The 21,469-nt window shown below is 49.8% G+C and overlaps 1 protein-coding gene across 13 annotated transcripts in view, besides 3 other annotated features; it reads left to right on the top strand.

Moving 5' to 3' along the window:
* The window catches only part of ZNF423 (zinc finger protein 423), a 371,756-nt gene that overhangs the window by 129,223 nt on the left and 221,064 nt on the right, over positions 1-21,469 (top strand). The gene's annotated exons all lie outside the window — the stretch shown is intronic.
* Positions 9,888-10,389: an enhancer, noted in NCBI's record as "H3K4me1 hESC enhancer chr16:49753579-49754080 (GRCh37/hg19 assembly coordinates)". NCBI's record gives its function as "activates a minimal SCP1, AML or CMV promoter by ChIP-STARR-seq in naive H9 embryonic stem cells {active_cell/tissue: H9 hESC(naive)}" and the evidence as "EXISTENCE:reporter gene assay evidence [ECO:0000049][PMID:30033119]".
* Positions 16,740-17,306: an enhancer, noted in NCBI's record as "H3K27ac-H3K4me1 hESC enhancer chr16:49746662-49747228 (GRCh37/hg19 assembly coordinates)". NCBI's record gives its function as "activates a minimal SCP1, AML or CMV promoter by ChIP-STARR-seq in naive H9 embryonic stem cells {active_cell/tissue: H9 hESC(naive)}" and the evidence as "EXISTENCE:reporter gene assay evidence [ECO:0000049][PMID:30033119]".
* Positions 17,307-17,874: an enhancer, noted in NCBI's record as "H3K4me1 hESC enhancer chr16:49746094-49746661 (GRCh37/hg19 assembly coordinates)". NCBI's record gives its function as "activates a minimal SCP1, AML or CMV promoter by ChIP-STARR-seq in naive H9 embryonic stem cells {active_cell/tissue: H9 hESC(naive)}" and the evidence as "EXISTENCE:reporter gene assay evidence [ECO:0000049][PMID:30033119]".

Here is a 21,469-nt window from a genome sequence, read left to right as displayed (position 1 = left end):
CACATTTCTGGGCTCTGAGATCTGCAGAGGGAGTCCATAGGACCTGTGTTCCTTACACAGTCTTCCTGAGAGACCTTCTTCCATCAGGGTTGTTGATGAAGCTCCTTGGATACTGGTTTGTGGAAGAAAGCCTGAAATCTCAGGCCTGCATTCTAAAGGGAACCCATCACTTGTTGAGGGGAACATTTACTGGTAGGGATTAGATTGGCACCCAAAGCTCTTGCTTTTTCTACTCCTCATATCATCTTGGAATTTTGAAATTAAGTGTTTGGGGAACTGCTATGATTTGCCCTCTAGTGACATCTGTGCCTGCACAGGGCTGGCTAGACCAAGTTCCCATTCTCAACCTCTGGAGGAACAGATATTTTTAAAATAATAATAATAATAATAATAATAATAATAATAATAATAATAATAGACCTAAGAGGAATCTTACAGTTTTGGACATTTTGGGGCCCAGTAATCCAAACCCCAGTCATTTGGAATTTGTGATATTGCAACCAGAGGCAGAGGTGATGGTTAATTTTCAATTCTAAATCAGAATTAGAAGGGACCTATGAGGTTAGCTTTTTAAGTCTCCTCACTTCCCCAAGGGAAATACTAGGGCAAAGGGAGGAAAAGGTGATTGCTTGGCCGGGGTCACATATCTGTTTGGTGGCCAAGCTAGGACCTCCTCTGGACACTGAGCTATTGACCCTCATCCTACTTGAGGAATAATATTATAGATGTTGGTATATTTCTTGATTTAGCCAAGAATTAACATGGAATCTTAACTATAAGAGAATAAAATATTGCCACTTACTTTATAATCAACTAATTGATCTAATGAAAAGTTATTCTCTTTATTTTCTAAATGCAAGAGAATAGGCCATTCTGTGTAGTTGTTAGAGCAGGGCCCCACACCTTCTGCTAAGCTGTGCTTTCTTGAGTCCCTGCAGCTCTTAGAGGCTGCCCCTTCCTCCAGCCCTTCAAATCAAGGAGATTCTCCTGTCTTTCAGTCTCACTTTTAAGAATGGTGGCATTTCGGGCTGGGCACGATGGCTCATGCCTGTAATCCCAGCATTTTGGGAGGCTGAGGCAGGCGGATCACGATGTCAGCAGTCCAAGACCAGCCTGGCCAATATGGTAAAACCCCATGTCTACTAAAAATACAAAAATTACCCAGGCGTGATGGCACATGCCTGTAGTCCCAGCTACTTGGGAGGCTGAGGCAAAAGAATCGCTTGAACCCGGGAGATGGAGGTTGCGGTGAGCCAAGATCATGCCACTGCACTCTGGCCTGGGTGACAGAGCGAGACCCCATCTCAAAAAAGGAAAATAAATAAATAAATAAAAGAATGGTGGCACTTCTAGGTGGAAAAAGGAAACTGGGAAACTGGGCTATATGTGAGAGTCTGAGCCAGAAATAAGAACTGGTAGCTAATTGTGCTTTGGTCCCCAGGAAGAATCCTCCTCCCAGTGGCAAACCCTTCTCTCATCAGCCTTTGACTCCAGGTGAAATCCATGGCAGCCCTGTTTGCAGGGTCCCCAGCTGTCCTTATTGATGCTGGTGGTATCCACCGACACTCCTGCCCGCTTCCTAACAGGACCCTGCTAATGACCTCCGTGGGGACGCAGGAGCTAGGAATACCCCCAAATCCTGGAGCATTGGAAGGGAGTCAGAAATTCCTTGAAAGAATGAGGGAAACAACCTTGCCTAAGCGCATCCCTGAGAAATTCATTACCGCCTGGTAAAGGCATGACCCAGCCTGGGATAGTTTCCTAGATGTGTGAGGAGTTACTTTCCCCCAGGTCTTCGGTTCTTAGGATTACTCAATGATGGGATAAACCACCGGGAATTGCGTATGTATTATTCAAAACAGTTCCCTACCTGGAATGCCTCCACACCCTTCCATTGTGCAGTGGTTTTCGAACTGTGTTCCCAGAGGTATCTCTGGGGCTATGGTGTGGTGTGTTTGGGGTGTAGGAAGTGAGTACTGGGGCCTGTCAGACTGAGGGGGCACTGATGTCCAGTCCAGTCGGAGCGATTCACCTTAAAAGTCTGTTTTATACCTGGGGCTTTAGCAGATGATGTTGTTTGAAAATTGGCCTCTGATTTAAAGGTTTGGAACTGATATAAATGTGCAATCGCAGGCTCCCCCTGGCCAGGCTGATGGGTCTGCTGGACTCTCACCACTGGTCACTCGATAGAAGCCCAATAGAGACCGTGTCCGAGAGGGCCGCGCTGGGCGCAGGCTGGGCAGACCATGGTGCCCTGCAGATGTTTCTGTAGGAACCAGAGGGTCTGCCCACTTGGCCTGGAGCAGAGGGCCTGCTTCTCAGGAATCGTGACCTGGGGTGTGAACAACCCTCCCCTTCATAGGGACTGTTGCTGCTGGAACGTGGAGGCAGCACGTGCCTCCCCAAACGGGTGTGTCCTGGCAGGGTCAGCCCTTGCAAGCCATTGGCCTTCTGGGGAGAGTGCTGTGTGTTGGGGTGTCGGGGGTGTATTTGTGGGCGGTGACCGTGAATGTGGCTCTTCCTGAAAACTGCTTCTGTATCTTTCTATGGCAGTTGGGGTGGTGTTGAGGGGGAGATTGGGGGCAGCGTTTTGCTCCCTCAGAATCTGGGACAGTGCTGTGGTGAGGTTTGGGGGTTTTCTGAGGTGGGGGGATGCTTACCCCTCAGGGGTGGGAGGGGAGCTTCATGCCAGAATGGCCACGATGGAAGACCCCCCCGTCCCCAACCTGGAGCCCGGCCTCTGTGCTAAGGAGCCTTCATTTCCAGTTGGGAGCTCGAGAAGGCACCTCTCTGTTGTCCTCAGCAGGAGTGGCATGCCGGGCCCATGAGCTGTTGAAGCGTGGACTTTAAGGTCTCGGACAACTCCATCAAGTCCTGTTCCTCTCTCTCCCTCTCGCTCTCATTTGTGTCTGAGGAGAAACCAACCTTAAACCCATGAGGTATCAAACATTGCATTTTTATGACACAAACTGAAAAGAGCAAAAATCCAGTCCTCTCCATTCATTCTCCCGCCCTGATGTCTGTTTGATTTTTCTTTGTTCCTCTCCAGCCCCTGGCCACAGGATGCCACACGTTCGCATGCTTGGGGTTGTGAGCACATACGTTTTCACGTTCTGTGTTTGTCACATAACATGTTATGAAGGGGTTCCCATGTGGTTACCTGGTCTTCGCCATTTTTTTTTTTTTTTTTTTTTTTTTTTGCTAGGGGGAACTCTGTCTTTTAAATAGCAGTGCTCAAGGGCAGGAAGCTTGGGTTGCAGGTACTGTGTCCATACTCTGAAAATATTAAATTTAGACTAAGATGTCTGTAGATGAGGCTTTTTGCCACAGTGTAGATAGGGGCTGACTGGGTAAGTGTGATGGGCTTCTCTGTTCCTAATGGAGACATTGTTTGTGGGCACCAAGTCAGGAAATGGCAAAGGATTTGGTGGCTGTCTGAATTGCCAAGGATGGGCAGTCCCTGTCAATTCAGGTCTCACTGATTTAAATCATGTTGGAACAAATAACGTCATAATTTGTGAAGCGCTGGCCAAGCAAATTTGGGTCCTTTAAACTGCAGCAGGGGGTGTTTATCATCATCTTCTAGGAGCCAGGAGGACTTGGACTGCTTTAGAAAGTTTCTCTAGGAACTGCCTGGGGTACCATAGAAGCAGGTGCGAGAGGTTTGGTTTGCCCATGGGGTGATGGTGGTTTTTTATGTGCTCACTGAAGCCAGTCACCTGTGGGCCTGTAGTCTGGATTTTTCACTTCCTGGTGCAAATACTCCCTTTTAGAGATACTGCAATTTATGTTGACCCCTGCTTTGGCCTGAATTAAGAGGCTGGCAGCTGGAGGGCGTGTGGGTGCTCCGTCTGCGCTGTCATGCTTGAGACCTGACTTTCCTAGTGCTGTTCCTCAGAGTGTCCACAGTGGGCTGTCAGCAGGGGCCTGTGCTGTGCCAGTCCTGGAACATGCCAGCCCAGGTCCCCGGGGCTGGAGCACTTGACAGCTTTTGGGGTCTTTGGCCTCTTTGCTAAAGGGGCTGCTGGCCTGATATATGGCTTTTTGTTGTAGGTAGTAAGACTGCGGGCTCCAGGCACTTGCCTTGGAATAGAAATCGCCTTCAGGACCAGTTTGGAGCTCAGCATTGGTGTCTTCCCTTCAGCTCCGTTCCCTGATCTCTGAGTTGGGCCAGGCTCCTGGCGGGCCCTAGAGAGGTGGCTCTGAAGCAGATGGGGTGCGTGCTGCCCTCCAGGGGCTGGCAGTCTGGTGCTGGGGGCAAATGTGTGAGCAGGTGTTGCCTCCTCCACACTGCAGTGAAGGCTGTAGTCCTGATATTCTTTGTGTTTTCAGTGCCTACTGCCCGCGAGGCACTATGGGACTCTGCCTGGAACACACGCCCTGCAGCCCTCCCTGCTGGCCCTCTGCAGCCCCCACGCCCACACAGTCCAGAGCACCCATCCCTTTCTGTAATTGTCTTTCACGTGTTTCTCACCCATCTCTCTCCCTACTATTAAGCTGCATGAGGACAACAGCCATACCTGTTTTGTTCCCCGTTATGTTCTAGCCCAGCGCTAGAGTAGAATTCAACATGTTTGTTGAATGAATGAATCATCTCACCTAGTCTTTATAACAATCACCTTTGGTGTCCAAGGTGACGCTGTCTTCATTTTTTTTAATTAATTAGTTTTTTAAGAGACAGGGTCTTGTTCTGTTGCCCAGCCTGGAGTGCAGTGGTGCCATTTGTAGCTCACTGCAGCCTCGACTTCCTGTGCTCAAGCGATCCTCCCGCCTCAGCCTCCTGAGCTAGGACCACAGGCATGCCCCACCATACCTGGCTCATTTTTAATTTTTTCTTGTATGGATGAGGTCTTGCTATGTTGCCTAGGTTGATCATGACCTCCTGGCCTCAGGCAATCCTCCTGCCTGGGCCTCCCAAAGCTAGGCACTATTTTCTACCATTCGTCCTCATTTTGCAATTGGGTGACTGAGGCTCAGAGAGCTGGAGGACCTTGCTCAAGGTTACAGATCGTGTCAGTAAAGGCAAGCTCTGAGGTCGGAACAGCTTGCCTGTGCTTGAGAACACAGATTGGGGACTGTGAGCAATTTCAAACTAAACTCCAGATGGCTTTTTTGAATGCTCAACTTCCAAAAAAACAAGAGGGGGGACTTTGTTGAAATAGCAACAGCAAAAAATGTGTTCCTGGTGGGTTAATTTTGCGGCTCCCCTCTCCGCTATCCCTTCTTGAGGACTGGGACCAAAGAGTGTTTCCCTGGCCCCTGTGAAAGGTAGGCCCTCCTTTTCTGGCGAAGGTGAAATGCTGCTGTGCAACAAGCCGGGTGGAAAGTTAATTACACCCTGGTTTGTTCAGCTGTGGCCAGAGTGACCTGTGGGCCCCAATTACAGGGCTGGTGCTGTGTGGAGCTGGCACCTTTGCCAGCCGTGTGCTGTCGGCCGGCTGGCCAGCGCTTGCCTTTTTGTGCTGGCTCAGGCCCCTTTCTTGCTCCAAAAGCATGAGGGGCTCCCTGCCTTACTGACTTGCGGCGCTCCTCGAACTGGCTCTGTTTTGGTCGTGCAGTGTGGGGCTGGGGCCAGTGCCAGACACTGTGCTACCTGATACACAGGTGCTGGGTGTGGGCTCCTTCTGCCCACAGGGAATGCACTCGGGGCCTTGGTGTCAGTTGACTTCACATGGCGCAAAAGGCTAGGGGCTTGAGCACAATTGATATCCGCCCCCTATCTTAAGAGTTTTCCTGCATGCAGACAGCTTCCAGTTAGGAAACACAGAGCAAGAAATGGTCCCGTTATGTCAGCCACAAAATGTATAAAAACCAGGGAGCAAACCCAGTAAGAAACATTCAAACGGCATGGAGAGGACAGACAAACAAAATCAATTATGGTGGGGGGAAGACAGGGAACACAGAAGAGACCTTACTCTTATTCTTGTGGAAAGATTCAGTATCATAAATATGCCAATTTCCTCCAAACGAACCTATTGGCTTAATGTTAGCTAATGAAAGCAATGGTAAGATTTGTTTAGAAATGGATGTGCTGAATTTATAGTTCATAAGAAATAGTGGGTATGCAGGCATCAGAAGGAATCTTCTGGAAAAGGAACAGGGAGTGGGGACAGGAACCAGCTCAGATTGCTCTGGAGCGGAAAGGATTCGAAGTGGTGTGAAACAGAAATGGACCCAAATACAACTGGAAATCTAGTGTATGAGAAGGGTGTCCCTGCACGACAGTGGAGGACAGATGGCTCTCTCAGCAACTGGGATTAGGATGAAAAGGTGGCCATCCCCCAAAAAGGAAATTGGATCCTTCCCTCACTCCTGACACCAAACTCAATCCCAAGTGGATCAGGAATCTAAACATAAAAAGAAAACTTTAAAATACTAAAAGAAAACAGAGAGCTTTTAAATATTTTAATTCAATAGTATCAGAGTGAGGAAGGCCTTTCTAAATATAACCCCAGTGTCAGAAGCCATAAAACCAAAGTCAAAACATTCAACTACATAAAAATAAAAAAATTCTACATTGTGAAAACCACAGTAAATCAAGCCAGGGACACATATCACAGGCAAAAGATGTTTTCCTTAATGTGTAAGGAACTCCTACAAATGCTAAGAAAATAGCCAATAAATCAACACAAAAAAACATGGCAAAGGCTAGGTTGAGGCACAGCCAAGCCTGCTTGAGATGCCTGGCCTTCCCCAAGGTCTGTACCGTCTCTGATCCATTGGTGCCACACTGGTGGTTAGATGTTTTGAATATCTCCCATGTGCAAACTACAGAAATGGACAGAAATGGAACCAGAGAAAGAAATACTAGTGGGATCCTAAATATTTAAAAAATATTTATTGGGAGGCCGAGGCAGGCGGATCACGAGGTCAGGAGATTGAAACCATCCTGGCTAACACAGTGAAACCCCGTCTCTACTGAAAATACAAAAAATTAGCCGGGCGTGGTGGCGGGTGCCTGTAGTCCCAGCTACTCGGGAGGCTGAGGCAGGAGAATGGCATGAACCCAGGAGGCGGAGCTTGCAGTGAGCCGAGATCACACCACTGCATTCCAGCCTGGGCGACAGAGTGACACTCAGTCTCAAAAAAAAAAAAAAAAAAAATTAGAACCCCGTTTATAGTAAGGGAACTGCAAATTTAAACCATAAGGAAATACCATTTTAAAAATACCAGAATGGCACAGATCAAAAAGTTTGCCAACACCATCTCACTGGTCAGGTTGTGTTCCATGATGTCCAGGCTTGGGGTCTTATTCTCTTCCCTCTCCGCAGGATTGCTTTGGCCTGTGGCTAGAACACATAGTAGGTGCTCAAGGAATGTTTGTTCTTGGGGCTAAGGAGGCTACAGCCCTCCTGCAAGGCAAAGGGGTGTGTGCAGTAAGAAAAGTGGAAATGCCATGGATACAGTGCTTTGGGATATGAGATAGAAAAAACAGAAGTTCTGGACATAGTAGGTCCTCAATTAATGTATAATCAGAAGGGTAAGTTTAGAGATGGAAGAGATGGTTCGTTCATACAATAAGTGTTTCTTTAGTGTGTGCTATTAGCAGGGACCCTCTGGGCTCTAGGGATGTGGAGGCTATTATAAAAGGTAGCTCAGTGGAGAAGGTGTTCACTTCACAAAAGGATGCTTTGACTTGTGTGATGAAGTGCTGTGGTGGTCTTTAAACAGCCTCCTTCTCTAGTGTCCTTAAGAGGGGCTTTGATGAACAGAGACGTTATTCTCTATAGCTCTCAGGAAGATGCTGACCTGCTAGCAGGCTTCCACTTGGGAGGGAAGTGGATGGGCAGGGTGGACCACCGGCCAGCCTGGGTCTGCTTGGCTGGTGGCATTTGTGGAAGCCTTCCCTAAATTGCCTGCCCCCTGCCCTCCGATGGCTTCTGATGGGGAACCATCCGGAGTAAGCTGGGGAACCAGCAGGCTGCATAGACGGTGGTTCTGAGTCTTGGCTCAGACAGCTGTGTCTTGGGTTCCTTCCTGGTGGTAATGTGGTGGTGGTGGGGACTTGTTTCTTAGTTGCTGACATTTTTATTCACCGCCTGCGAAGTCCGCAGGTTGCAGAGCATCCCTCCCTTGACTTGATTACATAGAGCGAATGCTGTTATCACACTGTTGGGCCTGTAAACCTCCCCAAAATTGGATGACAAATTAACAATATAGAAGGCAGGGGTCAAGGTGGGAAGATTCTGCATTTCTTGTGTTTTCCATGGGAAAAAAGGCATAGACCGTGTCTATGTGTCTACAGTCTATGTGTCTTTCTGGAGGTTTTGAGGACTCTCCAAAGTGGAGGAGGTTTTTGCTTCTTTCCTACCCAGCCTGCTTGACCACCTTCATGATTTTCTGAATAATTGAGCTTCTTGGATTCTTTGGTTTCCAAGGGTGCGCCAGAGTGGGATCCAGTGTGGCGCCTGGCACGATGGGTGTTGCTGCTGTACAAAGCCCCTGGGATGAGCCTGGGGGTTGATTCTGGAGATGGTTCTTGGGGAGCGAGGTGGGCTGTCCCCGGTTTCTGTTACCTTCCTGGCAGCAGCCAAAGCTTCCGGTGTCCTCCTGGGCCCAGGATGTACACCAAACTGGCCTTTAGGCTGGTTGTACATGTGTTCCCGGTGTGGTCTGGGTCCAGCCTGCTGTTGTCCATTTCATCTTGGGAGTTTCCAGAGGGCACCTGTCAGCAAGCAGTGATACCATACCTGCTGTGTATTCGGGGCCGTGAATGCCTGTGCATGGGTGTTCATTCATTCCCGTTAAGGGAAATGTATAGTCTAGCTGGAGGATGAAGTTGCTGTGATCCTTTTGGCTGCCAGCACATAGTTGGTCCTCAGTTAATGTGCTATCTGCATAGAGACTTGGCTCAAATTGACAAGCAGAAAATAGAGGATTCATTGGCTCCAGGAACTGAGAAATGCAGATGTAAGGCTGGCCTCAAGCTTGGTCCTCCAGGGCCTCCAGAGACACTGCCCCATGTCTGTTGACATGAACCCCATCACCGTGTGTACATCAGCAGAGGTGCCCCAGCACCTCCAGGCTCCACCTTTTCGACTCAGCAGTGACAATGGAATGAGCAGCCTCTTACCATTGCCAGGGTAGAAGTCCTGAGGTTGACTCTGTAGAATGGCCAGGACCAAGACTCACCCCCGCCCATGATGCGGCCAGGGAGACAACATACATGTTAGCAAGGGTCAGGGTTGGGTGCGGGGAATCAGGGCAGCTCCATGCAGACCACTGGGCCTGAGAGCTGGGGAGGGGCTCCCCTGAATGGTGGTCAGGAGCCACAGACATCTTCTTTAGGAGGTAGGAATTACATGCAGACAAACAGGAAGTAGTAAAAGAGTGCAATGAAATGCCAGATTGTCAGGTATCAGTTATCAATTGATAACCAATACTTTTGCTTTTGACAGTGTCTAGTCAGGTAATCTTAGAATTTTAGGGAAGCAGAATCCTTGGTGTGTATATCCTCAAACCTTTTTTGGTTTGAATGTGGTTGAAACAATGGCAGAACCAGTCTCTCAAACACAGCCAGGGCACTGACTGGACCAGGCTCCTTAGTGAGGTAGTACTTGTCCCAGGTCACACAGGGAGGTGGTAGCTTAGCCAGCACTCTCTGAGGTTATCTGCTAACTGCTGGTGGGGGGTGGGATTGCAGCTCCCAGGGTGGACAGGGGACTAGTGCAGCCTGCAGGGCACCCATGTTTTCTGGCAGGAGGTGCCCGTGTATATGCAGCTCCTGCCTGGCTCATGGGTGCTTCTGGGAATGCCACATCGAGCTCACTGTCTTTGAGGTCTCCAGACCCACGGACCTCACACTGTTTGCACTGGACCTTTTCTTTGTTTGCATCTTGTGGAAGAGTGACTTTGACCCTTGAATTCTAACAAACTTCATAGAAGTTGTGCCCCCACCTTGGGTGTTCCATAAAGCCATGGTCCCCCTGAACCTCTGCTGCTTGGTCCTTTGGGGGCAGTGCTCTGGGAGGTGGAAGGTGGGGTAATGGTGTGTCAAGCCCTCGTGGCATCCACCAGCGGCTTGGCCCCTACAATATTATGTTCAGGTCTCAGGCCAGGCTGGAGAGAGGCTGGGCAGCCACCAAGTTAGTCGGAGCCTTGAGCCTGAGTGGCTCAGGTGCCCAGATGGTGTTGAGAGGCAACTCTGAAATCAGCCAGCTATGCTGAACCTCTCTCGTGCGTTCCTGAGAAACCCAGTATATTAGTTCATTTTCACACTGCTATAAAGAACTACCTGAGACTGGGTAATTGATGAAGAAAAGAGGTTTTTAATTGACTTGCATTTCCTCAGGCTGTACAGGCAGCATGGCTGGGAGGCCTCAGGAAACTTACGATCATGGCGGAAGGTGAAGGGGTAGCAAGGACATCATAGCATGGTGAATCAGGAGAGATAGGGTGAGGGGGAGGTGCCACACACTTTTAAACAACCACATCTTGTGAGACTCACTCATCACCAGCACAGCAAGGGGGAAATCTGCCCCCATGATCTAATCACCTCTCACCAGGCCCCTTCCCCAACACTGGGAATTACAATTCCACATGAGATTTGGGTGGGGACACAGAGCCAGACTATATCACCCAAGTGTTACCAAAAAACCACATCATTTGCCATCAGCCAGAGGGAGAAAGAGGGATGCAGCTACGTATTCTAAAATTGCACTAACAAGGTCTTTTCTTTATTCTGTAGATATTTCAATAATAAGTTTTTTCCCCCAGTGTATTAGTGTATAGCTCTAAAACCTCAGTGTCACTGAGCCAGCTCAGGGCCCGTCACGTGGAGCTGCTCTTCCTTTCCCGTCAGGTCTGCTTTTTCATTAGGCCGGCACTTCCTGCCCTCCTTATCCTCTGTCTCACCCCTGGGCGGGAAAAGCAAAGGCCAGAGCCCCCCAGAGAGGCCCTGCTGCCTTTCTCCTGGAGGTGCTTGTGCTAATTCTGGATTCTGTTGGGCATAAAGATCTGAAAATTGTGTTCCCTGAGTAATCAATCTCGGTTACTACCAATTTGAGGTTTGCAAAAGCTTTGAGAAATGCCTGTGGGTGAGGATAGGAATAGCCTCCAGCTGGGATCCTGACCTGATTTTGGGGTAAAAGAGGCAAATAGAGGGGAGTTGTTCTAGAAGAGTCCTTTATTATAACTGGCTATGGTCTGAATGTTTGCTTTTCCCCCAAATTCGTTTGTTGAAATCTAATCCCCAATGTGGTAGTATTAAGCAGTGGGCCTGTAGGAGGTGATTAGGTCATGAAGGCTCTGGAAGAATGGGATGAGTGCTCTTACAAAAGGGGACCCAGAGGACTGCCCAGCTCCTTCCACCATGTGAGGACGCAGCAAGACTGTGTTGTCTATGAGAAATGCGCCCTCACCAGACACAGAATCTCCCAGCACCTTGATCTTGGACTTCCCGGCCTCCAGAACTGTGAGCAATAAACATTTGTGGTTTAGAAGCCATCCAGTTTCTGGTATTGTTGTTATATGAGCCTGAACAGACTTAAGACAGAGCTGAAAAGTGTTGATGCTCTCTTCTTCCATTCCTTACTCCACAATTCCAGGCACTCAAAGGAACAAGCAAACTTAACGGATGAAAGAGAAGTGTGTTCCTTAGAACCACAGCATCCCCTGGCACGTGTGCGTTCATTCACAGATCTTTTATTTTTGAGACAGAGTATCACTCTGTCACCCAGACTGGAGTGCAGTGGCATAATCTCGGCTCACTGCAGCCTCCACCTCCTTGGTTCAAGCAATTCTCCTGCCTCAGCCTCCTGAGTAGCTGGGATTACCACACCCAGCTAATTTTTGTATTTTTAGTAGGAAGGGGTTTTACCATGTTGGCCAGGCTGGTCTTGAACTCATGACTCAGGTGATCCTCCCACCTTGGCCTCCCAAAGTACTGAGATTACAGGTGTGAGCCACCACACCCAGCCACAGAGGCTTTTTTTAAAAGCATCTACTGTGTGCTGGGAACTGGGTGAGCAAAACACTGGGTGAGCACTGGGTGAGCAAAACAGACAACAGTTCCTGCCCTTGTGTAGCTTACTGGGCCCCTCGATAACTTTGGCCAGGGGATTCTTGAATGTACTCCTATGAGTTGGTTGGTCCCCTCCCTCTGTGGGGTAGTCCAGTAGTTCAGTACTGGCCAATGTGTGCATGAGTGGTGTGGAAATGAAGAACAGGAGCCGGTTCACTGCCAAAGGGTTATTTACTGTGCTCTGACGCTATGTCAGCAGAAGCAGAAAGAGTGTCTGTTCTGTGTGTTGCTGGAGGGAGTGGTTCAGGGAGGACAGAGAAGGAGAGATCTCAGGGTCATGCTTGCAAGTTGGAAGGTTGGGATTCCCTGCCGACCAGTGTCAGACAACCAAATCCTAACCAGCTGAAATCAAACAGTGCAATGTATTGGCTCATGTAAATAGAAACCTAGGTGTAGGACTATCTTCAGGTGCAGCTGAATCCAGGGACTCCAGTGAAGGGCGAAGGACCCAGTCTTCCTGCATCTCCTGGCTCTGAGGAATGCCATGATGGCTTTTGGCTCAGGTCAAGTCAAGTGCTCTGAATAGCAGACCTGAAAAGTTTCCCCAGAGGAAATCAGGGTGCTGCTAGCAGAAGAAGTGGGGATGGATGCTGGCCGCAGAAGCAGCCTGAAGAGAGAAGGAGCTGAGGCCATTTAACCTAGACAGCAGGTGACCTGACCTCCTGAACTGAGGGGTAGGCAAGAGCTTGGCTGGAAGTCCAGCCAGCCCTACCAGTTCCATGGGGGCCTGTTCCTATGATGGTGAAGGTATGGCTTGAGTGGCTGATGCTTTTATTATTGCCTCTGGGTAAGATGCCTCTGTGTGCCAGGGCAGTGGGGGAGTGGGGATGAGACCTGTCCACCCCTTTCTCCATTAATGTTGATACTCCAAGGGCCAGACCAGGACCAATTCCAGAAGTCCCCAGGGACACCTGCCTGGCCTATGTGTAAGGAGTGATGTTTTGGTTGGTGAGAGTCTTTGCAAGCCTGGAGATGAACACATCAGAGGGTGGCGGGGGAGGAGAGTGGGATGCAGGCTTGGGGCTGAGAGATGGGCATGTGGATTTATCAGGTTCCTTCAAACCTTGAGATCCTGTGATTGACATCCCTAACATGACACCCTAATACAGAAAAATAAAGAACATCCCCAAACAAAATGAGAAACCAACCAAATTTATCTCCCGCTGACTGGGGCTTGCAGGTCAAGGAGTGCTCCCAGCAGATCATCCCGTAATGCGGATTCCACTTTCCTCTGGTCACAGCCTCCCCAGCACCCCAGCCCACTGGCCTAGTGGCTCAGAGGGGCGATCAGGAGGAACTGCTTCTAGTGTCGCAGCAAAAGCCGGGGAGCAGGGAGAGGCGGGGGATTCGGAACAGGAAAAGAGCAAGGAAATTTAACTCTGGCACTGGTCTAAAATAAAGCGCTACTATTGGTTGAGTGTTTTGGCAGTGTTTTTAAACACTCTGTGCCAACTCAGAGAAAAAATGTACAGGGGATTATAAAATGCTTCATTTTGTGTTAAACAGTTTTATTTTGGAGTTGACTGGCTAGGATTTGGCTGCCTTTGGAAATGACGTCATGGGTATGAGGGTGCATGTGGGAAGACTGAGGCAGGCGAGGTGGCTCTGCAGGTGGGGGAATGGCAGCCAGCTTGGGGGAGCACACCTGCACCTCTGTCCCCGCCCTTGGATATGGAGTGTCTCAGCCTCTCCAAGGGCTTGGCTGAGCAGGTTGGTGCTGCCTCATGATGGGGGTGATGAGGTCAGATCTGCTGGAGCGGGTCTGACCCCTCTGAGGGTTGGTGGGGTGTGTTGTGGGAGGTAGGTGGAAGGAAGGTGGCTGAGGGGCAGGCAGCAGGGAGACTTGGGAGGGGCAATGGCTGGCATCTGCCTGTGGGCACCCAGCCTGTACCCAGCCTTTTCTCCTCAACTGCCCTCCGCTGTCCTCAGGACAGCTTGCATCTGACTCTGCTCCTCCCCCACTGCCCTGGGGATGAATCCACTCCCCTGCCTGGCCCTGTGCCTCTTGCGGCTTCTCCTCCTCCTGCTTGATTATCACAGCTCACTGCAGCATCGACCTCCTGGGCTCAAGCAATCCTTCCACCTCAGCCTCCCGAGTAGCTGGGACTATAGGCTTGCACCACCATGCCCCACTGTGCCCAGCTACTTTTTTGATTTTTTGCATACATGGGGTCTCTCTATGCTGCCCAGGTTGGTCTTGAACTCCTGGCCTCAAAAATTCCTCCTGCCTCAGCTACTCAAAGTATTGGGATTACAGGTGTGAGCCACTGTGTCTGGCTTTTGTTGTTGGGAGACAGGGTCTCACTCTGTCACCCAGGCTGGAGGGCACTGGCACGATTGTTGCTCACTGGAGCCTTGAACTCCTGGGCTCAAGCCATCTTCCCACCTCAGCCTCCCCAGTAGCTAGGACTATGGGTGCACACCACCATGCCCAGCTAAGTATTTTATATTAATTTTGAAAAAATGTGGTCTTGGTAAGTTACCCAGGCTAGTCTCAGACTCCTGGCCTCAAGTACTCCTCCTGCCTTGGCCTCCCAAAGCACTGGGATACTTGTGCCAGCTGCCGTGCCCGGCCTCAGTTCCTCCTCTTGAGCCGTCAACAGGCCGTGCTCATTCCACTGCAGGGCCTTTGCACCACCTGCCTTCCCCGGGTGTTCTTTCAGCTTTTCACGTGGATAGCTCTCTCACTTCCTTCTGTGTCTCCAAGGTCACCTCCTCAGCGCGGCCCTCCTTGCTGACACCCTCCCCCGTCTCCTGCAGCAGCGGCTCCCTTCAACGCCAAACACATCACACCATTTATTTCCTTTATGGCAGTGATTGCTTGATGTTTTTGAATTATTGTCTCTGCCACTCGAAGGTGACCCTCTTAGGAGTCCCGTCCTGTGCTGTCTCCCTCATGCCTGTTCCTGTCTCTGGCCTTGTGGCAGACCTGGTGCATAGTAAATGCTCAGGGAATACTTACTCAGTGATTTGTTGGAAGTGGCCTGGGTGGTGCTAAGTTGTTCCCTTGGATGGCACGAACACCAGGAATTCTTGGGGGCTTGCAGCTGGGCCGTCTCCTCGGGACTGGAAAGAAGCCTTCCCCTCCTCAAATTCCACCAAGCCACACCCAACTCACACCTCCCTTCCCATTCCAGAAATGGCTCTTCCCATGGCTTCCTGGGGGCTGGAGAGCAGGGGCCGCGGGACAAACCCCAGGGTGCATTTCGGTCTTCAGTGGAGGGGGCAGTTCATATTTCAGACCACCCATTTTTATTTTTAAATTAATTTTTTTTTTGTAGAGATGGGGTTTCACTATGTTGCTTAGGCTGATCTGGAACTCAAGCAATCCACCCATCTCAGCCTCCCAAAGTGTTGGGATTACAGGTGTGAGCCATTGCACCCGGCCTCATCAGTTTTTTTTTTTTTTCTCCCAGGCTGGAGTGCAGTGGCGAGATCTTGGCTCACTGCAACCTCCACCTCCCGGGCTCAAGCAATTTTCCTGCTTCAGCCTCCCAAGTAGCTGGGATTACAGACACCTGGCTAATTTTTTGTATTTTTAGTAGAGATGGGGTTTTGCCATGTTGGCCAGGCTGGTCTTGAACTCGTGACCTCAGGTGATCTGCTCACCTTGGCCTCCCAAAGTGCTGGGATTACAGGTGTGAGCCACCGCACCTGGCCCCATCAGTTTTTAATTTAGCTCCTAGTATGTACTAGGCCCTGGCTGCGTGTTGAAATATAGCAGCACCCTGAGTAGACCAGATCCCTGCCCTGGTTGGGGAAACAGATAATAAGGAGGTAAGCACCGGGTGCTTCGTCATACCGTCATACCATCATGTGTGAGGTGATGAATAAATACAATTGGCTCCCGCCCTTCGGAGCCCATGATCTCCTGGGAGAATGAGCCGTCTGCAGGGCACAGGAAGATGCTCCGGCTCCTGGGGATGGGATTTGAGAAGCACTGCTGGGGCGTTAAGCAAGAGACCCAGAGCTGGGCTTCAGAAGCAACTGTGCCTGGTGGGTTCACTCTCTCCTCCTTCCTTTACCACACTGCCGGGCTGACTTGTCTGCCCTGTGGGAGGCGTGATGGAGTTGCAGGGAGAAAGCCACTGGTCATTGACTCCACACAGCCAGATCACAGGGGAGGGATGGGGGCCCTGGCAGCGGGGGAGTGAGTTACTGGAAGATTCCCTCTTCGCCCACATTCTCTGGGCCTGCGTGTCTGATCACTGACTTTCTGTCTCTCCAGTCTCACGGATGGCATCTTTCACACTGCTTCCTCGAATGCCTTTTTATCACAGTCTCAACAAACACCTTGCAGACATATTTACTTAAAAATTCTTTAAAGAATACCCCCTTGGTCAGGGTCCCAACAGAAAACAGATGGCGCACTCAAACCGGGAGATGGAGGAGCATTTAATAAAGGGCCCATTTGCAGAAGCGGGCAGGGGAAGAAGGGGAGCTGTCCAGGAGTGGGGCATCATCCTGAGAACCTGCCAGGGTGCGGGGAGGGGCATTTAGGCCACCTGGAGAGACTGGCTGTAGGGAGGCTGCTGAGGGAGAGGGGTGCAGCAGGGCAGGGCAGAGGCTGGGAGAATAACTACCCCAAATCTGTCTCCTCCCCCACTGCAGTCGCTGCAGGAACACAGAGCAGGAATGGACCAAGGTGGGGGCGGATCTAGAGGGGACAGTGGCAAATATCCTTTGTACCCACCCCACTCCCTGGGCTCTCTTAGATCCTGCGGATGAGCAAATGCTCAGAAGTCAGATTTTGGAGATCAGCCCCAGTTTATAGCAGTTTCCTGTGTGATTTGTGTGGGGGAGTGGGTGGTGCCCTGTTTCTCCTGGACCCTGAGGCTATGTCAGGTGACTGTGGGCTTTTAGCTTTTGGTGGTCCCTTTTCCTGGGACAAGCCAATTGCCAGCACTTTGGTCTTGCTCTGTAAGGCCACAGATGATGGAGCAGAGGAGCAGATTTGTCAGACTGGAGGCCCAGCGCCTGGCAAGTGGAGGTGTACAAATGGAGGCCTGAGCTGCCAAAACTTTATTTGCATAAATGGCGACATGAATCAGTTATCATTCTGATTAAATCCATTTTCTGCTTAACTCCTGGAGAAATTGGCAATGGAAGGCATTCTGTGGCTGTCACCTGCACGACGGTGTCATTCTGTTTGTGGCTTCATAGGGACAATGGCAGTGGAGAGGTCAAGGAAAAGCAGGAAGGTCAAGGATGCATCCGCGGAGCCTCTTTGTTCATTATGTATTTCCATCACACGTGGTTTCCACTCGCGGATCGCGCCGCTCCCGGGACCCCCAGAGGATAAGACAAGGGAACCGGTGCTCTGAGCACCAAAGCTATTTTTATTTGTGTGCAGGGCAAGGTGATGTGGCGGCTGCAGGCCGAGGTTCAGCCGTCCCTGACACACAGAATTGGATATTAAGGTGGAATTAGAAGCTTGAGTCTGAGGAGGTCCCTAGCGAGGGATGCATTCAGGATGGCATTATGACTTTCCAAACTGCTTTTGCAGAGGGCAGTGAGGGGAGATGAAGGAGCTGTTTTGGGGGCCAACCCTCAGCCCCTGAGTAGCCCTCTATCAGTGGATTATGAATTGTTTGTTTCCCGAAATCAAATTCTCTTTCTATTGTTTCTTTTTTTTCCAATGGCACTTTCCCCTCTGGACATTCCTAAGAGCTTTTTTTCTCCTCTTCACAAAGCTTTGCGGCACCCCACCTGCTCAGGCACGCGAGCCCCACCGTGCATTAGCAGTGCGGGCGCCCGTTCCTTCTGTGACCAATGCAGGCCCCTATGTTATCAGCATCACTTTGCCTCCAAGTGAGGAGCAGAGAAGGCCTTCCCTCATTATTTTAAAACAATTAAATGTGATCAAATATCACAGTAATACATAAATGTATTCTTTATTATTATTATTTTTTTAAATAGCGACAGGGTCTCGCTCTGTTGCCCAGGCTGGAGTACAGTGGTGTGAACATAGCTCACTGCAGCCTCCTGGGCTCAAGCGATTCTCCTGCCTCAGCCTCCCAGGTGTCTGGGACTGCAGGCATGTGGCCCCATTTCTGGCTAATTTTTAAATTATTTATTTATTTTTTCTAGAGACGAGGTCTCACCGTGTGTTGCCCAGGGCTGCTCTTGAACTCCTGGGCTCAAGCCATCCTCCTGCCTCAGCCTCCCAAAGTGTTGGGATTAGAGGCATGAGCTACTGCGTCTGGCCATAAATGTATTCTGTTTGTAAAAATTTCAAAGATAGGCTTCAGGCTGTCCCCACCCCCTTGTTAACTACTGTTATTACCATTTTGGCTTTCTTGATTCCAGACCTTCTCCTACACCTTTACGTAATACTGTATTTCATAGATTCTAAGACACATTTTAACATTTCTGAAATTGAGGTGCATCTTTCAACTAGTGGCTTGTCATGGTTTAATTGACAGTGGGTTTTGTTTTTCTTTTTCAGTGGTCTGTAAAATAATGGTGCATTTTACCATCCACGGTGTCTTACGTTCAGTGAAATATAGTGTTATGTGTATCCACAGAAACAATGTTATATTGATTTTTGATTAAAAAATGAATGATACCATATTGGATCTATCATTCTGCAACTTGCTTTTTTTCCATTTAGTATTAGACCTCAGAGAGCTTCTCACCTCAGCGGGTACATCTCCCTACTTCTTATTAGCTGCTGTGGGGCTTGCGTAGTGTGGATGCCCCGTGCTTTATGCAGCAGGCCCCTGGTGGGGGGTATTTAGGGTGTTTCCAGTTGTTCACTATAGTAAACATTCTTGTACACGTCTCCCTGTAGGAACACTTTTTTCCATGGTTGATAAGGAGAAGGGGCATCGTTGGGCCCAGCCTCTGTAACCTTCTCTTTCCTTCATTCCAACATTCTGTTCCATTGCATCTTATTTTATCCCACCTGCTCTACTCATCCCATTCCACCCCTCTCATTCCATCCTATCCTGTCCCATCCCATCCCATCTCACCCCGTTCCACAGTCGTCACCCTAGTACCAACTTGGCTTTACATACTGTGCTTGAGGGGCCCACAGAGGGGAGTCAGTACCTGCCTACCCGGCAGCTTCTGGTGCAGCTGGGAGAGAAACCCTGAAATAAGACTTGGATCTGAGCCCCATGTCCCCAAGTGAAGCCTGGGGGTGGGGCACAGGTGTTGTCTGGTGCTGAGGGAGACATTGCAACCTCATTTTACACTCATTCTGGGTCCTCTCAGGCTGGCAAGCCCCTCGGGAATTAAACAGTGTTCCTTAGCATTGCCACGTGTTGTCACCTCTTGACTGGTATGGAGCTTAAATGAGAATCTTCCCCAGGTGGGTTCCTTAAGGCTGGACACCTGTTTGACTTTTTGTGGAGTCCCCTCTCTTGTTTTCCCACCATTAAGAGCCACCTGTCATTCCAGTGGCACCCGGCTGCTCTGCACAGAGGTGCTGTGCCATCTCACCAGGATGCCGGGGATGGAGAGGATGCAGGGATGGAGTCTCCCTCACTACTTCTGCCGCCTGGTGACTTTTGAGCAGAAAGTGCCAGAGTCGGCCCTGAAGTGACTTCAGGCAGTGCTTCTTAGGCGTTTAGGTCCTTATGATCACTTGGAATCTTATGAAAATGCAGTTCCATTTGAACAGACCTGGGGTGCCGGAGAGTCTACATTTCTTACAAACTCCCTGGGGATGCAGATGCTACTGAACCACACCGGAGTAGCAAGGACTTTAGGAAGGATAGGCCAACTATGGAGGCAGGGAGGACCTGGGAAGTGTGGAAGAAGAATTTTGGTGAGAGCTGAGGTGTTTTAGGGTCCAAAACTAGACATGACGAGCAGGTCACCTCTTCGGACTATAGATTATTGTCATTATTGTTATTTGTACTTTTGGCTCGCTATCTCTAGCAACTGTGTGCAAGTCAAGGGAGAGTTTGTTGGTTTATTTTAGGCTGATAGATTTGTTCTAGAGTTTCAACTGTTCTACATGTGGCATGTAGTGGAGCATAATTCTTCATTCTGAGGACTGTTCCTTGCTTGGCAAGACATTCAGCATCCTTGGCATTGCCCACTAGATGCCAGTAGCAACCTCCCTGATTATTGTGGCTGCCTCAGTCCGCTCTGGCTGCTATAACAAAATATCTGAGACTGATTGTGTGATTTACATGCAACAGAAATTTGTCGTTCACAGTCCTGGAGGCTGGGAAGTCCAAAATCAAGGTGCCAGGAGATTCCGTGTCTGGTAAGGGCCCACTCCTCATAGATGGAGACTTCTATGTGCCCTCTGGTGCAAGGGCAAAAAGGGACTAATAAGCTATGTTGGGGCTTTTTGATAAGGAAACTGATCGCACTCGTAGGGATGGAACCCTCATGACCTAATCACCCGCCAAAAGCCCCACTTCTTAATACCATCATCTTGGTTAGGTTTCAACATACAAATTTTGGGGGGACGTAAACATTCAGACGATAGCAGTGGCACTTGAAAAATGCTCCTGAAGGGCGGTTGCTGCCCCTGGCTGAGAGCTGCTGAACTAGATGCACCCCTTGTTGAGGGCGGGGACCATGGTCTCGTTTCCATACCTGGAGTGGCTGGCATCGTACCTGGCGTGGTGTAGGAACCTGATAAACGTGTCTTCCATGAAAAAAGGCAGCCTCTCGGGCACTAAGATGATGTCATTGTGAAGAACCCCTGCTTCAGGGAAGAGTCAGATTTGTGTGCCTCTGTTACACCGAGCAGGGTGGCACCTGCTGAGAACAGCAGCGTCCTGACCTCGAGGGATGGTTGGGGGAGACAAGAGGCAGGAAATGATGGTGCTTCTGAAGTCAGCTTTGTTTCCTTGGCTTTCCCCCAGGGCTCCGAAGCTCCGTTTTCATATATATATATATAAACGGCTGCTGAACGTTTGAGTTTTTTATGCGTTTGTCTTTTCTGGGCCGAGCTGCTGGAGGATAAGGCCTGTCTTGTTCATCCTTATGTCCTCAGGGCCTGGTACATAGTAGGTGTCTTGTAAATGTTTGCTGAAATAACTATTTGAATTCCTTAGGGAAATCAGCTCTTCCCAGGAGCTCAGTGATGGATCTTTCTGTTTCACTGAAGAGCAAGTTTGTAATGTGAATCTTTACCCCCCGCCCATTCATTCATGGGGTTATTAGTTCATTCATTCATTCAACAAATATTTACTGAGCACCTACTAGGTCCCATGCCCTGTGCTGAAGCAGGAGGAGGCAGGCATTGTCCTCACTGTGGAGCTGAGGGTGTGCTGGGGGGAACAGACATTAGTCCAAGAATCAGACAAGCAGTGGGAAAATGACAGCCTCCGCAAGTGCTTCTAGGGGAAGGTACATCCATGGCCTGTGAAAGGCTGTGCGGGTAGCACGTGTTGGGTCCCTGTGGCATGTGGGCAGTGGAGGATGTCGGGGAGGGGTCCCTGAGGTGGTAGAGTTGGAGCTAAGTTCTGCAAGGAAGAG

Source organism: Homo sapiens, chromosome 16 (genome assembly GCF_000001405.40).
Source record: "Homo sapiens chromosome 16, GRCh38.p14 Primary Assembly".
NCBI lineage: Eukaryota > Metazoa > Chordata > Mammalia > Primates > Hominidae > Homo > Homo sapiens.
Note: the sequence above shows the minus strand (reverse complement) of the source record. Positions and strands in the feature narration are given on the sequence as shown.